This window comes from Homo sapiens, chromosome 17 (assembly GCF_000001405.40).
Source record: "Homo sapiens chromosome 17, GRCh38.p14 Primary Assembly".
NCBI classification, from domain to species: Eukaryota; Metazoa; Chordata; class Mammalia; order Primates; family Hominidae; genus Homo; species Homo sapiens.
In genome coordinates this window covers 1,260,337-1,278,599 of record NC_000017.11, presented here as the reverse complement: position 1 = coordinate 1,278,599, position 18,263 = coordinate 1,260,337, and the positions used below count along the sequence as shown (strand labels likewise).

Here is an 18,263-nt window from a genome sequence, read left to right as displayed (position 1 = left end):
CCATCTCTACAAAAAATACAAAAAATATATGGGCGTGGTGGTACATGCCTGTAATCCCAGCTACTTGGGAGGCTGAGGGAGGAGAATCGCTTGAGCCTGGGAGGTCCAGGCTGCAGTGAGCCGAGATCCTGCCGCACAGCTCAGTGGGAGATATGGGGCTGAAAGGACACCTGGAAATGAATAAGATTTGAAAACTCAGCCGGGCACGGTGACTCATGCCTGTAATCCCAGCACTTTGGGAGGCTGAGGCAGGTGGATCACTTGAGGTCAGCAGTTCGAGACCAGCCTGGCCATCATGGCAAAACCCTGTCTCTACTAAAAATACAAAAATTAGCGTGGTGGTGGGTGCCTGTAACCACAGCTACTTTGGAGACTGAGGCAGGAGAATCACTTGAACCTGGGAAGAAGCGAACGTTGCAGTGAGCCAAGGTTGCACCACTGCACTCCAGCCTGGGTGACAGAATGAGACTCCAACTAAAAACAAACAAACAAACAAACAAATAAAAAACAATGTTTGTGGCTTTGGGAGAACTTTGCAGGTTTCATAAATTTGACTATATTAAATTAAGAATTTTGCTCAGGCTGGGCATGGTGGCTCACGCCTGTAATCCCAGCACTTTGGGAGGCCAAGGTGGGCAGATCACGAGGTCAGGAGATTGAGACCATCCTGACCAATGTGGTGAAACCCCGTCTCTACTAGAAATACAAAAATTAGCTGGGTGTGGTGGCACATGCCTGTAATCCCAGCTACTCAGGAGGCTGAGGCAGGAGAATTGCTTGAACCCGGGAGGCAGAGGTTGCAGTGAGTGGAGATCATGCCACTACACTCCAGCCTGGGTGACAGAGTGAGACTCCTCTCAAAAAAATAAAAGAGAGAGAGAGAGAGAATTGTGCTCAATAAAGGAAACCCATTGTTATTTGCAAAATGAAGACCTTGGGGAGCCGCCTCGTCCTCCTCTCAGTCCTCAGGGAGGCCAGGTGTGGGGCCTGGGAGCGAGCTGGGCTCCCCTGCTTATGAGCGTCCAGAAATACGATAATCCTGTATAACAGGAAAGCTCCTTCACAGGGTGGCTAGGTGGGTCCCTGAGACCCCTTAGGCTCCAAGCCGGTATCCAGTTGGGCAGAATGCCATGGTACAGCCTTGGAGCTGACCCCTGGGTGGAGGGACGACAGCTACCCAGCCCAATTCGGTAGCCCCTAGCCACATGTGGCTTCCGAGCCCTTGAAATGTGACTCATCCAAGTTGAGATGTAAAATACACACAAGACATCGAAAACTGGGTCCAAACACAAAAAGAATGGAAAATATCTCATTAATACTTTTTATTGATTGTATATTGAAAGGATAATATTTTGGATATATTGGGATAAATAAAACGTTATTAAAATCAACATTATTGATTTCATCTGCTTATTTTTACGTTCTAAAAATGTGCCTAGTAGAAAATTAAAAAAATTTTTTTTTGAGACAGAATCTCGCTCTGTCACCAAGCTGGAGTGCAGTGGCGCGATCTCGGCTCACTGCAACCTCCGCCTCCCAGGTTCAAGCGATTCTCCGGCCTCAGCCTCCTGAGTATCTGGGATTACAGGCATGCACCACCACGCCTGGCTAATTTTTGTATTTTTAGTAGAGATGGGGTTTTACCATGTTGGCCAGGCTGGTCCCAAACTCCTGAACTCAGGTGATTCACCCGCCTCTGCCTCCCAAAGTTCTGGGATTACAGGCATGAGCCACCGCGCCCGGCCTCAACACATGATTTTAAAAATTCATTTCATATAAAAATTGGGGTTTCAGGCTGGGCACGGTGGCTCACGAGATAGAGTCTTGCTCTGTTGCCCAGGCTGGAGTGCAGTGTTGTGATCTTGGCTCTAGGCTTGCTGCAACCTCTGCCTCCCGGGTTCAAGCGATTCTCCTACCTCAGCCTCCCGAGTAGCTGGGATTACAGGCATCCACCACCACGTCCGGCTAATTTTTGTATTTTTAGTAGAGACAGGGTTTCGCCATGTTGGCCAGGCTAGTCTTGAACTCCTGACCTCAGGTGATCTGCCCACCTCGGCCTCCCAAAGTGCAGGGATAACAGGCGTGAGCCACCGCACCCGGCTATATGTTAAATTCTTGATGGAATAAAAGGAGGAAAGAAAAAACTAAGAAGTCCCCAGAGTAGTCCCTGGCACGAGGTTGCCTGGGCGGGCTGGGGTCGGGGGTAATTAGGGACCCACGTTTGCTCCGCCCGTGTGGGATGCTGGAGTCTCAGCGCCACCTCGTGGCAGGTAGTGATGAGGGGAATGACCAGAGTGGAGGGAGCCCGAGGGAGGCAGCAGCGGATTTGGGCTCCCGGCGGTGACCCCAACCTTTGAGCACCCTACATGCGAGGGATGCTGAGAGAGGACAGGGATGTGAACAGTGCGGGGGAGTGGACCTGCCCATGAGGGGTCCTTTGGGGGGTGAGGTGGGGCGGGGAAGAAACCTCAGAAGCATAAGCAAGTTCAAGCCGAAGCCCAGGGGAAGGAGAAACATCCTCCTCATATCTCTGCCCCACAGCCCTTTCATCCTTGGCGTCTCACTGGGTGTCAGGAAACCCTACGGGGCTGACAGGGAAGGTGCAATTGAGCCAATTCCTCTTCTCACTGAAGCCTTCCTGGGCCCCGTTCAGGAGTTCTGCTCCAGGAGTGAGAGAGTAGCCTCCTGACATCTGTGTACACACACACACACACACACACTCTCACACACTCTCTCTCACACACACACTCTCACACTCTCATACACTCACCCCACACACTCTCACACACTCACACACTCACACACTCACCCCCACACACATTCACACACCCTCAGTCACCCCCACACACTCACACACACTCACACACTCACCCACACACCCCCCCCACACACACATTCACACACACTCACACACTCACACACTCGCCCCACACACATTCACACACCCTCACACTCAGTCACCCCACACACTCACACACACTCATACACTCACCCCCCACACACTCACACACTCACACACTCACCCCACACACATTCACACACCCTCACAATCACCCCCACACACTCACCCCCACACACATTCACACACCCTCACACACACACTCACACACTCACCCCCACACACATTCACACACCCTCACTCACACACACACAGTCACCCCCACACACATTCACTCACACACACTCGCACACTCATTCACACACACACACGCACGTCCTTTTGTAAAGTGTGATAAACATTGACGTAATCGTGCGCCCATCAGCAAGCACCCCAGAATTTCACATCCAGGGAGGCGGGTCCACCTGAAGGAACCCACTGGGGATGCGTCTCCTTTCTGTCCTTGCTCAAAACACATCCCTACTCCTCTTGGGAGTTTTCCTAAGGAGACTGATCTTGCACTTTTTTTTTTTTGACACCAAATCTCACTCTGTTGCCCAGGCTGGAGTGCAGTGGTGCTATCTCGGCTCACTGCAACCTCCGCCTTCTGGGTTTCAAGTGATTCTCCTGCCTCAGCCTCCTCCCAAGTAGCTGGGATTACAGGCTCCTGCCACCATGCCTGGCTAATTTTTGTTTGTTTAGTGGAGACGGGGTTTCGCCATGTTGGCTGGGCCTAATTTTTCACCTTTTAAAATAACAATGATGAAGACTCTAATGAAAATTAGGCCGGGCGCGGTGGCTCATTTCTGTAATCCCAGCACTTTGGGAGGCTGAGGCGGGCGGATCACGAGGTCGGGAGACCATCCTGGCTAACACAGTGAAACCCCGTCTCTACTAAAAATATGAAAAAAAATGATCCGGGCGTGGTGGCGGGCGCCTGTAGTCCCAGCTACTCGGGAGGCTGAGGCAGGAGAATGGCGTGAACCCGGGAGGCAGAGCTTGCAGTGAGCCAAGATCACGCCACTGCACTCCAGCCTGGGCGACAGAGCGAGACTCCATCTCAAAAAAAAAAAAAAAAAAAAAAAAAAGAAAGAAAAAAAGAAAGAAAATTAAGGCCAGGCCCCTCATACCTGTAATGCCAGCACTTTGGGAGGCTAAGGCAGGAGGATCACTTGAGCCCCAGGTATTTGAGACCAGCCTGGGCAACATGGCAAAACCCCATCTTTACAAAAAATACAAAAATTAGCCGGCATGGTGGCACACGCCTGTATTCTCAGCTACTAGGAAGGCTGAGGTGGGAGGATCACGTGAGCCCAGGAGGTCAAGGCTACAGTGAGCCATGGCTTGGCGGCTCTGTCTTACACGTGCGTCTTTCCTTCCTGGCATTTTCCTTTCTCTATGCATTTCATGCCTATCATTGTGCCTTTTAAACAATATTTGGGCAAACCCATGTGATCTCAGTGGAAACCACCATTTTTTAATAATCATAAAATCTTTTCTTCACCACATATAAGTCATCTTGGAGAATGGACACGATCTTGGGAAGCAGACAGAAAAATCAAGCAAGGGTTCCAGAAAACCTCAACAGCACGTAACGGAGGCTACACAGGCCCAGGATCCCCTGCGGCATCAGAGAGATGAGGAAGCACCTGTTAGGTTGATACGTATATAGATACCCACACAAATATCCACGCAGCCACACATCTATGTGAGCACACACAAAATATGTACATATCACAAACTCAGAATCCTAGGCAAACATACAGCACCCAAACACACAGCCCCGGAAAAACCATGCTAGCAGCCAATGTGTCCCAGACTTTACAGTTGATAAAACAGCTTCCCATGCATTCTCTCCTTGTAACAACCTTGTGAACTGAATATGTCTGAACAGCCTCCACTCAGTCAGCGTTTACGTGGGCCAAGCACTGTGCTAGTGCTTTAAATGCATCCTCCCATTTACTCTCCAAAACAGCCTATGAAGTAAGTACTTATTCTAGCCCATTATACAGACGGGAACACCGAGGCTCAAAGCCGCCAGGTGATTGGCCCAAGATCACTCAGCTGGTCAGTGAGGAGCTGGAAGTCCAGAACTGTGACATCCCTGCCACTGAACTCATGGGGCTGCCGCATCAGGATTCTGCCTGCAGGGGTGTCCTTGCTATTTCCAGGCTGAGAGTGTGATAGGATGGGGGAGAAGAACCTTTCTTTCTTTTTCTTTTCTTTTTTTTTTTTTTTGAGAGAATCTCGCTCTTTTGGCCAGGCTGGAGTGCAGTGGCGCGCGATCTCGGCTCACTGCAACCTCTGCCTCCCGGGATCAAGCAATTCTTATGCCTCATCCTCCCGAGTAGCTGGGATTACAGGTGCATGCGCTACCACACCCAGCTAATTTTTGTATTTTTAGTAGAGATGGGGTTTCACCATGTTAGCCAGGCTGGTCTTGAACTCCTGACCTCAGGTGATCCACCTGCCTCTGGGCCTCCCACAGTGCTGAGATGACAGGCGCGAGCCACCACACCCGGCCCCCTTACTTCTTTCAGTTCTGGAATTTAGCAAAGTAGGACTTGCTGGTCCTTATATTGTGTTTCCAGAGGATAAATACCTGAGGCTGAAACATGGCTACAGCCTTGTCCAAGCTGGTTTCTCACAGGATCCTTATAGTACACAAACATGACAGCTTGTGAACACCTTCTGTTTGCCAGAAACGGTCCATTACGAACCACTTACAATCCTCACAGCCATCCTGGAATCATTCATGTCAGAGGGGAGGAACTAGAGGCTGAGAGAGGCGGCTGAGCAGGGGCTGGACCAGGGCAGGCCTGGCTCTTTCCTTCTCACTGGCAGCCCGTGGCACTGTGGGGCTCGGCGGGCAGGGCTGGGGCCAGCATCTCCTGCGTTGCTGCTCCTGGCTAGACCCACGTCCGCTCTCAATAGAGTCAAAGCCTTCCCGTGGTCTGTGTCACAGCCTCCCTGCGCAATTGGGAACCCTAAGGGCTGTGGCTGGGGACAGGATGCTCAGCGTGCCAGCCAGGGCTGGGGTTTGCAGACAGCAGAGGCACTTTTAACTGTAGAGGTGAGCCTCACCCCACGTGCTCTGGGAAACTCTCCCTGGGTTTACGCCTAATGGCGTTTCTCTAGCTTCTGTGGGATCCGCACTCTGAGCTAGCTGTGGGGAACCCTTCCCTCTCCTGTTGGCAAGAGCCCAGCGCTCCCCCAGCACCTCTGGGCTCTGGCCCAGCAGGCAGCCCTTGCAATATTAGACCCTTACCCTGAGCCGGGCCAGACACCAGCTCATCTCAGATGCAGGGCAGCTCTCTGGACAAAACTCTCGGGGCAGCTGGCTGTGTCTCTCACTAGCTCAGCAGGCTTGGCCTGAGGCCCCTCTGCCCTCACTCAACCCCCTCCCCAGAATCCTTCCTGGGTTCCAAGTCGGCCCCTCATTATGGGGGCCCTGGCCCACGGTTCCCTGGGAGCTCTTCCTGCCTGTCGCTCGGGGTACATGCACGCAGGACTTACCGGCCCCCAATCCTAGCCCTGCCCTTGGCCTCCTTCCCTGAGACCTGGCCAGAGTCCCCCTTCACTGTGGCTGCTTCCAGGCAGCTCTGCAGGGAGGTCCAGAGACGGGGCTGACCCCATCCTTAGACTCCCAGGCCCCGTGACCCCTCTCCTGATATCCTCTTCCACCCCAGGGGACTCAGGGAGGAGGGGTCTCTGGATGTCTCTTTCCTCCCCTTGGGCTCCCACAGTGCTCAGCCACACCTGGGGTCTTGCCATGAATGAGTTCCCCCAGGCGCCTACCTGTGGGCCTTAGGCCCCGCCCAGCATTCCAAGGAGAGCCCCCAGCCCTCAGGCGTTCCTGCCACCCTGGGCCACGGGGCCCACTGGAGTCGTGGTATCGGAGAGAAATGAGTTTTTCCTTTTATTTGGCTGCTGCCCCTGCCTGCCTCTCCCGGATCCTGCCTCTCCCGGATCAGGCTTGGGCAGCAGCGCAGGCAGGGAAGGGGACTCCGCACTCATGTGCCCACGAGACCACAGCAGGCCCCACCCGCATTCCCACGCTCCCACACCTCCTGCCTCAAAGCCCTCACTCTCCTAAAAGCATCGAGAACACACAGGGCTCGGAGGCGCAGGAGTGCGAAGGCGGCATTCCAAGACGAGTTCGAGTCCAAGATGAGTTCAGGATCCTGAGCCTTTCTGGCAACTGCCTCCCTAGGCTGGGATGTGGGGGCGCAGCCCCAGGCCCCGGAGCTCCTTCTCTCTGCCCCAGGCTGGGATGTGGGGGCGCAACCCCGGGTCCCGGAGCTCCTTCTCTCTGGCGAGCTCCTTCTCTTCCACGCCAGGTCTCAGCCGGTCCAGTTCTGCTCTGTCCAAGACGCCTTTGCAGTCCCGGGTTTTATAGTCCAGCTGCCAGCCCGGCCTCCCTGCAGCCCAGCCGGTGCCTCGAGGCCGGTCAGGAGCGCGGATGGCCCATCCCGGGGGCGGATCGCAGGTAGCCCCGCGGCCAGGGAGGCGGCCCGGCAGAGGAAGCCCCCGGACAGCGGCGCCAGCTTCCCCCGGAGGCCTGTGCTAGGCCCGGCCCCTCGGCCACCGCACTGGGCCGTGCCAGGGGCGCGTGCGGGGGGCACGAGGCGCAGCGGGGCGCGGACGGCACCGAGGGGCGGGCGGCGTCTGGGCGCGCGAGGCTGGGCCCTGCAGGCGGCGGGGGGCTGGCGCCTGTGTCCCCGGTGTCCCCGCGCGCGGCCGGGCCGTGGCACTCCAGGTGTCCGCAGGGCCCGCGGGGCGCGGGGCTGGCGCGCAGGACCAGGGAGAGCGCGGCGATGCGGTGGATGGCCCTGCGCAGCGTGGCGATCTTGGAGAGCCTCTTGCCGCCCAGGTCGTGCCGCAGCGCCCGGCGCAGCGCGTTGAAGGCCTCGTTGTAGTCTAGGATGCGCTTGCGCTCCCGCACGTTGGCGGCCATGCGCCGCGCCTTGGACCGCACCGGCCGCGCGCGCCTCCTGCCCGCCGGCTCCTCCGCCTCGCCCCGGCTGCAGGAAGCGCCGTTCGCCCCCAGCACCCCCGAATCGCCCCCGGGCTCGGGGCAGGGGCCCCCCAAGTCCTCCGCAGAGTCCTCGGCCCCCTTCCGCGCCGTGAGGCCTAGTCCTGGCGCGCCCCGCAGCATGGCCTTCCCGGGCACTCGCCCTCTGCCCCAGCCCCGGCCCTCTGCCCTCTGCCCTCTGCCCACTGCCTTGGCCCGGCTCGCGACGCGGACGGTCCCCGGCTCCTGGGGCTGGACACTCCCGAGACAGGCCCCTTCCAGCTGGGCTTTATGGCACCACGCGGCGCCCCGCCCTCCCGTCCATCCATCTCCCTCCTCCTGCTTTATTATCGGCCTCCAGGTAGGTCGGCGGGGGAGGAACCGAGGGGAAGAAGGAAAGCAAGGAGGGAAGCTTGCAGGTTCTTGTAAGCGGGGACCAGACGGGCAGCCCGGCCACGCTGCCCCGGGGACCTTGCCCTGCCTAGCTCTGGGGCCGCTGTGGGGTGTCTGGGTTCCACATTCTTCCTCCCCATTCCCAGATAAGGTGCTAAGTTTGGCTTCTAGCAGGAGAGCTGATAGGAATAAAAAGAGGCAGAGGGCCGGGCACTGGGGCTCACGCCTGTCATCCCAGCAGTTTGGGAGGCCGAGGCGGGCGGATCACTTGAGTTCAGGAGTTCGAGACCAGCCTGGCCAACAGAGTATATAAAACCCCGTCTACTAAAAACACAAAAATTAGCCGGGCGTGGTGGCAGGCGCCTGTAATCCCAGTTACTCGGGAGGCTGAGGCAGGAGAATGGCTTGAGCCCAGGAGCTGGAGGTTGCAGTGAGCCGAGATCGCACCACTGCACTCTAGCCTGGGAGACAGAACGAGACTCCGTCTCAGAAAAACAACAACAAAAACAACAACAAAACCTTGAAAGTTCTTGTCAAGTCCCGTGGGCAACCACAGAGATGTCACTGAGGAAAAGCATGAGTGTCCCGGCAGGACTCATATGGGAGGCGCAGGGCCCTGCAGGTAAAGCTGACCCAGAGCTTCCGGCTTTTTCAGCTATGGAGGGCGGCTGGCTGCAATTGGGGTTCGGGTTTTGGTTGGGCCTGACTCTCCCTCCACTGCCCTTTGACTCCCCTTCTGCAGGCAGAGCTGGGATGAGTCAGCAGCAGAGGGTGACGGGGAAGATCCCTTTGCAGCCCTGGGTCCACATCAGGGGCATCTTTGGGGTCCAGAGCCCTCGGGCAGCCCCATCTTGTGACACAGCCCTGCCAGGTTATGAACTCAATGAGCAGCCTCTGTCCTCTTCCCCCAGGGATTTGCATTTGAAAGAGGGTCTCAGAAAAAAGATGATGTTTATTCCCAAAGAAAGACCCCCAGTAGAATTTCCGGCATCCACAGCTGAGTTATTTGGAGCGCCTGAAGGCCACTCATTCCCAGTCACAATCCAAATGCCTCTAAGATGCCAAGGCCTATGGCATTGGAATGGGTGTGTGGTTCACATCCATCTCGCCAAAAGAGCATTGCCAATAACCCCATTATTTCAAACTGTGAATTTCTCCATAAAAGAAAATAATAAGGCATTAGGAAGCAGAGTGTATGTATTTACTTCTGTGATTGTCTGCCTTGCCCACTAGGATGAAAGCATCCTAAGGACATCTGTATTTCCCAGGTTCTATGTCCCCCAAATCTGCAATATATGTCGAATTATAAAACAGCTAGAGGCCGGGCGCAGTGGCTCACGCCTGTAATCCCAGTACTTTGGGAGGCCGAGGTGGGCGGATCACTTGAGGTCAGGAGTTCAAGACCAGCCTGGCCAACACGGTGAAACCCCGTCTCTACTAAAATACAACAATTAGCTGGACGTGGTGGCGGGGAGCCTGTAGTCCCAGCTACTCGGGAGGCTGAGGCAGAGAATCGCTTGAACCAGGGAGGCGGAGGTTGCAGTGAGCCGAGATCCCGCCACTGCGCTCCAGCCTGGCGGACAGAGCGAGACTCCGTCTCAAAAACAACAAAAAATAAACCAGAAAAAAAAAAAAGGTCAGTAAAAGCAAAGAAAATGCCCACGCAGCGCGCGTTTCCCGGTGGCGTTTCCCGGCCGCTCCCGCCCTTCCCCGCGCACGTCAGGAAACGGCCCCACGCGAAGAACCCCGAGGACCCGGGAGAGGCGCCCCCTCCTGGAACCCGGGACTCCCGGGCGCTGCGGGGCGCGGCCGACTTCAAAGCGAGCGGCGGGCCCGGCATTTCCGCGGCACCTGCCCGTGCCCGGGAGCGCGAGTTCTCGGCCCGGGCGGGGGCGGGCGGGGGCGGGCGGGGCGCCGTGATTTAGGGTCTGGCGGTTCCGCCGGCGGCCGCGTAGGTGCCTATTAGCGCCGGGCGGGGCCTGGGCTTCAAAAGTTCCGGCTCTTCCTCCGGAAGTTCCGGCGCCGCTCCCCGAGGGAGGACGGAACGCCCGCCCGGGAGAGAAAGTCCGGGAGCCGCTCACGGGGGCCTCGACCCCACCCCCTCCGGAGAGCGGGTCCCGGGAAGCCCTGAGCCTCCTTCTCTCCCAGGCGAGACCCTGGCGTTTCAACCCACACGCCCGGTGTGGAAGACGTAGGGGCGCAATTGCAGCCTCTGCCCCTTCATGCGCTCATTCAACAAAAACTTTTTTTTTTTTGAGACCGAGTCTCGCTCTGTCGCCCAGGCTGGACCGCAGTGTCGCAATCTTGGCTCACTGCAAGCTCCACCTCTCGGGTTCAAGCGATTCTCCTGCCTCAGCCTCCCGAGTACGTGGGATTACAGGCACCCACCATCGTGCCCAGCTATTTTTTGTATTTTTACCAGAGACGGGGTTTCACCATGTTGGCCAGGATGGTCTCGAACTCCCGGCCTTAAGTGATCCGCCCGCCTCGGCCACCCAAAGTGCTGGGATTACAGACGTGAGCCACCGCTCCCGGCCCTGAACTGGATTTCAAAGGATGAATAGCAGTTTGCCAAGCAGACAGGAGGTAGAGGGAACAGCAGGTGCCAGGCCCTGGAAGTGTAAGCGGTCACAGGATGATGCGAAAAATACAGGAAAGTGACTTTGCCAAACCACCAAATGTGAGGCCAGGGAGTGACGGGAGATAAGGCTGGAGATCACCAGGCGTCGTCCCAAAAGCTTGCTTTTCGCCCTGTAGGCAGCTGGGTACTGCAAAAGGTTATTAAGCAGAGGAATGTCAGCCGTATTTGAATTACAGCTAGAGCTCTTTGAGCAGTGTGGAGAATGGATGTTAAGACAAATTCCACTTAGGAAGCAAGGATCCTGGAGGAAGGGGGGGCCTGAGCTATGCAGGCAGTGGTGAGAGAAGGGCACGGAGTCAACACCTGTTTGGAAAATAGAATTGACATGTGGGGGTGCCAATGGGATAAAGCAGATGACAAAAAGGGGTGTCGTCTCCATATTCTCCTTTAAGAGCAGAAGCCTTAGTTCAGAGACTCTCTCTACAAAGGTCCAGCCATGGACATGGGGACAAGAAAGCCAGTGGCATATGGTCACCTCAGACCCAGGGCACCCACGACTTCGGTTATTTTTTTTTTTTTTTTGAGGTGGAGTCTCGTTCTGTCTCCCAGGCTGGAGTGCAGTGGCGAAATCTCGGCTCACTGCAACCTCCACCTCCCGGGTTTAAGCGATTCTCCTGCCTCAGCCTCCTGAGTAGCTGGGACTACAGGCGTGTGCCGTGGTGGATGTTTTTGTTATCACTGTTTGCTATGTGGCATTTGAACAGCCTTCCTATCTGGGGAGAAGGGAGCCTCCATGGTGGGGCTCTGGGTGGCAGAGATTTCTGGTAACTGGGACAGATGCGAGTCCAGGCACTTGGCTGCCTGACTTGAATCTGGAGTGGTGTCCCAAAGAAACAAACAGGTAACAGTGGAGAAATCACGGTGCCAGTGCGGGGCCTGTGGCCCTCCACGTCCTACACTGGCATCTAGAGGAGGTTCCTGGCTTGGCCGTGGGTCTAGCTGCCCAGTTTCCTATAATTCTTACGAGTTTCCCAACCTTAATTTCCCAGACTCTTTTCTTTTTTCTTTTTGAGACGGAGTCTCACTCTGTTGTGCAGGCCGCAGTGCAGTGGCGCGATCTCGGCCCACTGCAACGTCCGTGTCCCTGGGCAAGCAATTCTCCTGCCTCAGCCTCCTGAGTAGCTGGGATTACAGGCGCCCGCCACTACGCCCGGCTAATTTTTTGTATTTTTATTAGAGACAGGGTTTCACCATGTTGGCCAGGCTGGTCTTGAACTCCTGACCTCAAGCGATTGGCCTGCCTCGGCCTCCCAAAGTGCTGGGATTACAGGCGTGAGTGACTGTGCCCTAGACTTTTTTTCCGTTGATTTTGTGAGCTACCTCAGAGCCAATACCTGCCTCTTCCTTCTGCTCAAGTTGGATTTGGTTGTTTCCAACCAAGAATCCTGACAACACAGCGTAGAGATAAGCAGTCATCCTGGTCAACCTCGCTGACTCCCAAGCCAATCCCAACTTCAAGAGGTGCAGCAGGTGACTTAACCTCTCTGACCCTCACTCTGTTTCTTCATCTGTAAAATGAATTGGTAACTGCCACATAAGAGAGCTGTGAGCATTAAATGACACCATGCACAGAAAGCCCTTAGCACGGTACCTGGCACATTGTGGGCACTTAATAATTAGTTATGATCAGCTGGGCGCGGTGGCTCACGCCTGTAATCCCAGCACTGTGGGAGGCCGAGGCGGGCAGATCACCTGAGGTCAGGAGATCGAGACCATCCTGGCTAACGTGGTGAAACCCCGTCTTTACTGAACATACAAAAAATTAGCCGGGCATTGTGGCAGGCGTCTGTAGTCCCAGCTACTTGGGAGGCTGAGGCAGGAGAATGGCATGAACCCAGGAGGCGGAGCTTGCAGTGAGCCAAGATCGCGCCACTGCATTCCAGCCTGGGCGACAGAGCAAGACTCCGTCTCAAAAAAAAAAAAAAAAAAGTTATTATTGGCTGGGTGCGGTGGCTCATGCCTGTAATAGCACCGTGGGAGGCTGAGGCGGGCAGATCACCTGAGGTCAGGAGTTCGAGACCAGCCTGACCAATATGGTGAAATCCCGTCTCTACTAAAAATATAAAAATTAGCCGGGTGTGGTGGCGGGCACCTATAGTGTCAGCTGCTGGGGAGGCTGAGGTAGGAGAATCTCTTGAACTGGGGAGGCGGAGGTCACAGTGAGCCGAGATTACACCACTGCAGTCCAGCCTGGGTGACAGAGCAAGACTCCATCTCAAAAAAGAAAAAAGTTAATAATTAGTTACTGTTATTATTATCCTTTTTCTGGAGAATATACTCAGTACCCCAGGGTTTCTTTCCAACAAGCTCATGCACACATTTGGTCCTCTCCACTGCTGCCACTCCCAGCCCACAGAGCAGCGTCCCTCCATCCAGCACCTGCCGACAACTTGTTCTTTCTTGCTCTAATCTGGAATATTGCTTGGTCCTTCACCTGCACTCACCCCAGCCCTGCCTGTAACACTGAACAGCAGGGTGTTGTGTAGGCTCTGGAATAAGATTATCATTTATGAGCTGCGTAGCCTGGGCCAAGATGCTTCACTTCTTTTCTTTTTTTTTTTTTTTTTGAGGCGGAGTCTTGCTCTGTCGCCCAGGCTGGAGTGCGGTGGCATGATCTTGGCTCACTGCAACCACGACCTTTCAGGTTCAAGCGATTCTCCCGCCTCAGCCTCCCAAGTAGCTGGGATTATAGGTGCTTGCCACTATGCCTGGCTAATTTTTGTAGTTTTAGTAGAGAGGGGGTTTCACCATGTTGGGCAGGCTGGTCTCAAACTCCTGACCTCAGGTGATCCGCCTGCCTCAGCCTCCCATCAAGTGCTGGGATTACAGGCGTGAGCCACCGCACCTGGCTGATGCTTCACTTGTTTGAGCCTCCGTTTCCTTGTCTGTAAAATGAGGTATGCAATGGTACTGCTTCATCAGGTGATCCGCCTGCCTCGGCCTCCCAAAGTGCTGGGATTACAGGCGTGAGCCACCGCGCCTGGCTGATGCTTCACTTGTTTGAGCCTCTGTTTCCTTGTCTGTAAAATGAGGTATGCAGTGGTACTGCTTTGTCAGGTTTGTTGTAGGATTAAATGAAAGACCGTGTTTTTACGCTGTCAGTACAGGGCCTGGCTCCTAGAAGGAACTCTGTGAATATTAACTTTCTCTTCTTCCTACCCTCTGCTCCTTTCCCCAGCCAGCTTGGCCACTGCAGCTGTAAATCATCCAGATAAACAAGAGCATTCTCCTCCCTCCCACCCCAGTACCAAACTGCTCATCACCTCCACCCACTAATGACCTGGCGATTGGCTTCTCGTTAAAGAAATGACAAAGAGGCCTCTGTGCTTTTAGCTGGGGTCTAATCAGGCTTAGCTCCGTCCCAGAGTCAGTGTGGAGTAGGAATTCCAGGTCCAGGGCGGTGTGGGGAGGGCGGGTGGTGGTGGGTAGGTGGGTGCTGGCTTGGTGTGGACAGCGAGCTCTGCCTCCCGGGCCCAGGGCTGCTGAAGGCCAGGAACTCTCAGGAAAGAGCTCTGTTATTGGGAGGAAAAACAGGGTTCCTACCTGCTGCCCAGGAGGCTGAGAGCCATGTGTGGGCTCAAGAGATCTTTGCTACCCTCCTGAGGTTGGGCTTTCTCATCTGTTTGAGAAGAATTATAGGCCGGGCACGGTGGCTCACGCCTGTAATCCCAGCACTTCGGGAGGCCGAGGAGGGCAGATCACCTGAAGTCAGGAGTTCAAGACCAGTCAGGCCAACATGGTGAAACCCCGTCTCTACTAAAAATACAAAAATTAGCCGGGCGCGGTGGCTCACGCCTGTAATCCCAGCACTTTGGGAGGCTGAGGAGGGCAGATCACCTGAAGTCAGGAGTTCAAGACCAGGCTGGCCAACAAGGTGAAACCTCGTCTCTACTAAAAATACAAAAATTAGCCGGGCCTGGTGGCGTGCACCTGTAATCCCAGCAACTTGGGAGACTGAGGCAGACAGGCATTACCTGCTTGAACCTGGGAGGCAGAGGTTGCAGTGAGCCGAAATCTCACCACTGCACTCCAGCCTGAGTGACAGAGACTCCATCTCAAAAAAAAACACCAAAAACGAAAAAAGATAATACTTCCCTTGTGGATTTGGTGTGAGGAAACAGCGAGAGAAACCAACAGTAGACTTCTGGTTGGGTGCGGTGGCTCCTGCCTGTCATCCCAGCACTTTGGGAGGCCAAGGCAGGAGGATTGCTTCAGGCCAGGAGTTTCAGACCAGCCTGGGCAACATAGCAAGACCCCGTCTCTAAAAAAAAAAAAAAATTAGCTGGGCATGGTGGTGCGTGCCTGTGATCCCAGCTAGAGCCCGAGAAGTCGAGGCTTCAGTGAGCCATGATTGAGCCACTGCATTCCAGCCTGGGTCACAGCGAGACCCTGCCTCAAAAAAAAAAAAAAAAGTATATTTCTAACACTGTGTAGGTGTCAATAAATGGCATCCATTACTACATTCCTATTGCTGCTATTATTATTGCTTTAATTATTATTGTCATCCTTGGAACCCAGTTACCAATCTTTCCGGCTCCCTTTGGTGACCTGTTCACCCTGCCTCCAGTGATGTGTAATGCCACATATCTACCAAGCCACCTCCAACCATTTCTGGGTAATGCCTGTCTGCCTGGGCAATCTTGCAGTCTCGTTTTTCATTTTCAGAATTCTGTTGGGTGTTCTTGGCCCTTTACACTTCCACAGGAATTTGATTATCCTTTCGCCTGGTCTATAACTCTTCTTCTGTGATTCTTTCATACCTCTTCTCCGTATTTTCTTTTCTTTTTTTTTTTTTTTATGAGACGGAGTCTCGCTCTGTCCCCCAGGCTGGAGTGCAGTGGCGCGATCTCAGCTCACTGCAAGCTCCGCCTTCCGGGTTCACGACATTCTCCTGCCTCAGCCTCCCGAGTAGCTGGGACTACAGGTGCCCGCCACCACCCCCGCCTAATTTTTAAAAATATTTTTAGTAGAGACGGGGTTTCACCATGTTAGCCATGATGGTCTCAATCTCCAGACCTTGTGATCTGCCCGCCTCGGCCTCCCAAAGTGCTGGGATTACAGGCTTGAGCCACTGCACCCGGCCTTTTTCCGTATTTTCTTGCTTGCTTTTTTTTTTTCCCCCTGAGACGGAGTCTCGCTGTCGCCCAGGCTGGAGTGCGGTGGCAAGATCTCAGCTCACTGCAATTTCTGCCTCCCAGGTTCAAGCAATTATCCTGCCTCAGCCTCCCAAGTAGCTGGGATTACAGGCATGTGCCACCACACCCGGCTAATTTTTGTATTTTTAGTAGACACGGGGTTTTACCACGTTGGCCAGGCTGGTCTCGAACTCCCGACCTTGTGATCCACCCACCTCGGCCTCCCAAAGTGCTGGGATTACAGGCGTGAGCCACCGTGCCTGACCCATATTTTCTTTCTCAAGGTGGCTTCCCTCATAGTGGCAAAAGGGCTGCAGGAGCTCTGGGACTCACGTGCATCCTCCATCATGAACAAGAGGAGAAGGGAACCACCCAGGAAGGTCGCTCCTAAAACCCTGACTCACAGACACTGAACTAACACATGTTTATGGTTGTCTTAAAGCAGTCGGTTTTGAGGTCACCTGTTCTTCACAAGACGTAATGAATGCAGCAGTTCAGGCTTTCCTGCAGTCGACTGAGTTCTCTGGTAACTGTGAGCAGGACTGATGCGTGCCACCTGCAGGCCCACCCATACGAACTTCCCACCCGAACCTCTGCAGCCTCCATGCCCGGTCCTCTTGGCCTCAGGTCCCCTAGGCCAGCCATGGGGGCCACAAGCTGAAGACGGCAGAGGTACAAGAGGAAGAAGTCTGGGGCCCTCAATCATGGCTGGGGGATTGCTGCCCAGGAATACCACCTGACCAGAGACACCACATGAATGATTCCATGAGCAGGAAATAAATCTTCATGTTTAAGCCACTGAGATTTGGGGATTTATCCATTACAGTACCTAAAGTCACCTTAAACTAATACTCTTTCTTTTTTTTTTTTTTTTTTTTTTGAGTCGGCGTCTTGCTCTGTGGCCCAGGCTGGAGTGCAGTGTCGAGATCCCGGTTCACTGCAACCTCCGCCTCCCGGGTTCAAGTGATTCTCCTGCCTCAGCTTCCTGAGTAACTGGGATTACAGTCATACGCTACCACACCTGGCTCATTTTTGTATTTTTAGGAGGGACAGGGTTTCACCATGTTGGTCAAGCTGGTCTCGAACTCCTGACCTCGTGATCCTCCCACCTCGGCCTCCCAAAGTGCTGGGATTATAGGCATGAGCCACTGCGCCCGGCCTAATACTCTTTCATACAGAATTTTTTTTCCCCCAGGCTGGATTGTAATGGCGTGATCTCGGTCACTGCAACCTCCACCTCCCCGGTTCAAGCGATTCTCCTGCCTCAGCCTCCCAAGTAGCTGGGACTACAGGCGTATGCCACCATGCCCAGCTAATTTTTGTATTTTTGGTAGAGATGGGTTTTCACCATGTTGCCCAGGCTGGTCTCAAACTCCTGACCTCAAGTGATCTGCCTGCCTCAGCCTCCCAAAGTGCTGGGACTACAGGCGTGAGCCACCTCACCCAGCCTCATATAGAACTTTAGAGAGAATTTTTAAAGCACTTTCATAAACTCCCTTTAAATTGGATCCTCCTAACTCCTTGTGAGGTAGATAGGGCAGAATGCTCTTTTATCAGTGAGGAGAACTGAGGCTCAGAGAGGCTAAGACGCTTGCTCAACGTCACACAGCTCATGGGTGGAGCAGGAAGACAGCGAAGCAGGTGGTAGGATAACCTAGTCCAAGCAGGTTAAGCTTGGAGGACAGAGACGAGGTGTATGATTCCTGAACCCACTACTTATTAATCAAGGGAACTTGGGCAAGTCGATCACTTCTCTTTTCATTTCTCCATCTGCAAAATGGGAACCGTAAGGACTAACTTTCAGAGCTGCCTGGGGAGGTTCGGGAGAGAATATATATACACACAAGATTCCTGGCACCCAATAGGCATTCAGTAACTATTTGGAGAGTTGATACAGCGTTTAGCACAGCTGGGCACACAGTCTCTCCATTGCCTTAGCCATGCGTATTATTACGTTTATATTTTATTTACATAGGAACATGTTACGGTTGATCACGCTCCAGACTGTCATTTCAACAAGGCCCTGAGAACTTGGGAGCCCCTCAGGCCTCCTGGAACCCGTCCGGGCTCCCCCAGACATGCCCAGCCCCCGCGCAGCATGCGGCCCGCCCCCCCCATAAATCAGGCCCCGCGACCTGTAATTAACAAGCCGCGGTCCCCATCCCAGGGGCTTCCTGCGCCCCCCCCCCGCCTCTCCAGGAG

At 54.5% G+C, this 18,263-nt stretch overlaps 1 protein-coding gene across 1 annotated transcript, besides 6 other annotated features; it reads right to left on the bottom strand.

Moving 5' to 3' along the window:
- BHLHA9 (basic helix-loop-helix family member a9) lies at positions 6,785 to 8,156 on the bottom strand. Its single transcript, NM_001164405.2, has one exon. It carries the CDS (start codon positions 8,034 to 8,036, stop codon positions 7,329 to 7,331), a length of 708 nt encoding a protein of 235 aa, NP_001157877.1. The 5' UTR covers positions 8,037 to 8,156; the 3' UTR covers positions 6,785 to 7,328.
- Positions 7,004 to 7,754: an enhancer, noted in NCBI's record as "H3K4me1 hESC enhancer chr17:1174140-1174890 (GRCh37/hg19 assembly coordinates)". NCBI's record gives its function as "activates a minimal SCP1, AML or CMV promoter by ChIP-STARR-seq in primed H9 embryonic stem cells {active_cell/tissue: H9 hESC(primed)}" and the evidence as "EXISTENCE:reporter gene assay evidence [ECO:0000049][PMID:30033119]".
- Positions 9,359 to 10,161: an enhancer, noted in NCBI's record as "H3K27ac-H3K4me1 hESC enhancer chr17:1171733-1172535 (GRCh37/hg19 assembly coordinates)". NCBI's record gives its function as "activates a minimal SCP1, AML or CMV promoter by ChIP-STARR-seq in naive H9 embryonic stem cells {active_cell/tissue: H9 hESC(naive)}" and the evidence as "EXISTENCE:reporter gene assay evidence [ECO:0000049][PMID:30033119]".
- Positions 10,071 to 10,300: a silencer, noted in NCBI's record as "silent region_7950". NCBI's record gives its function as "represses an Ori minimal core promoter by ATAC-STARR-seq in GM12878 lymphoblastoid cells {active_cell/tissue: GM12878}" and the evidence as "EXISTENCE:reporter gene assay evidence [ECO:0000049][PMID:35858748]".
- Positions 10,071 to 10,965: a biological region, named in NCBI's record as "H3K27ac-H3K4me1 hESC enhancer GRCh37_chr17:1170929-1171732".
- Positions 10,162 to 10,965: an enhancer, noted in NCBI's record as "H3K27ac-H3K4me1 hESC enhancer chr17:1170929-1171732 (GRCh37/hg19 assembly coordinates)". NCBI's record gives its function as "activates a minimal SCP1, AML or CMV promoter by ChIP-STARR-seq in primed H9 embryonic stem cells {active_cell/tissue: H9 hESC(primed)}" and the evidence as "EXISTENCE:reporter gene assay evidence [ECO:0000049][PMID:30033119]".
- Positions 14,610 to 14,785: a silencer, noted in NCBI's record as "fragment chr17:1167109-1167284 (GRCh37/hg19 assembly coordinates)". NCBI's record gives its function as "represses an EF-1alpha promoter that drives an FKBP-Casp9 reporter gene in an ReSE screen in K562 erythroleukemia cells {active_cell/tissue: K562}" and the evidence as "EXISTENCE:reporter gene assay evidence [ECO:0000049][PMID:32094911]".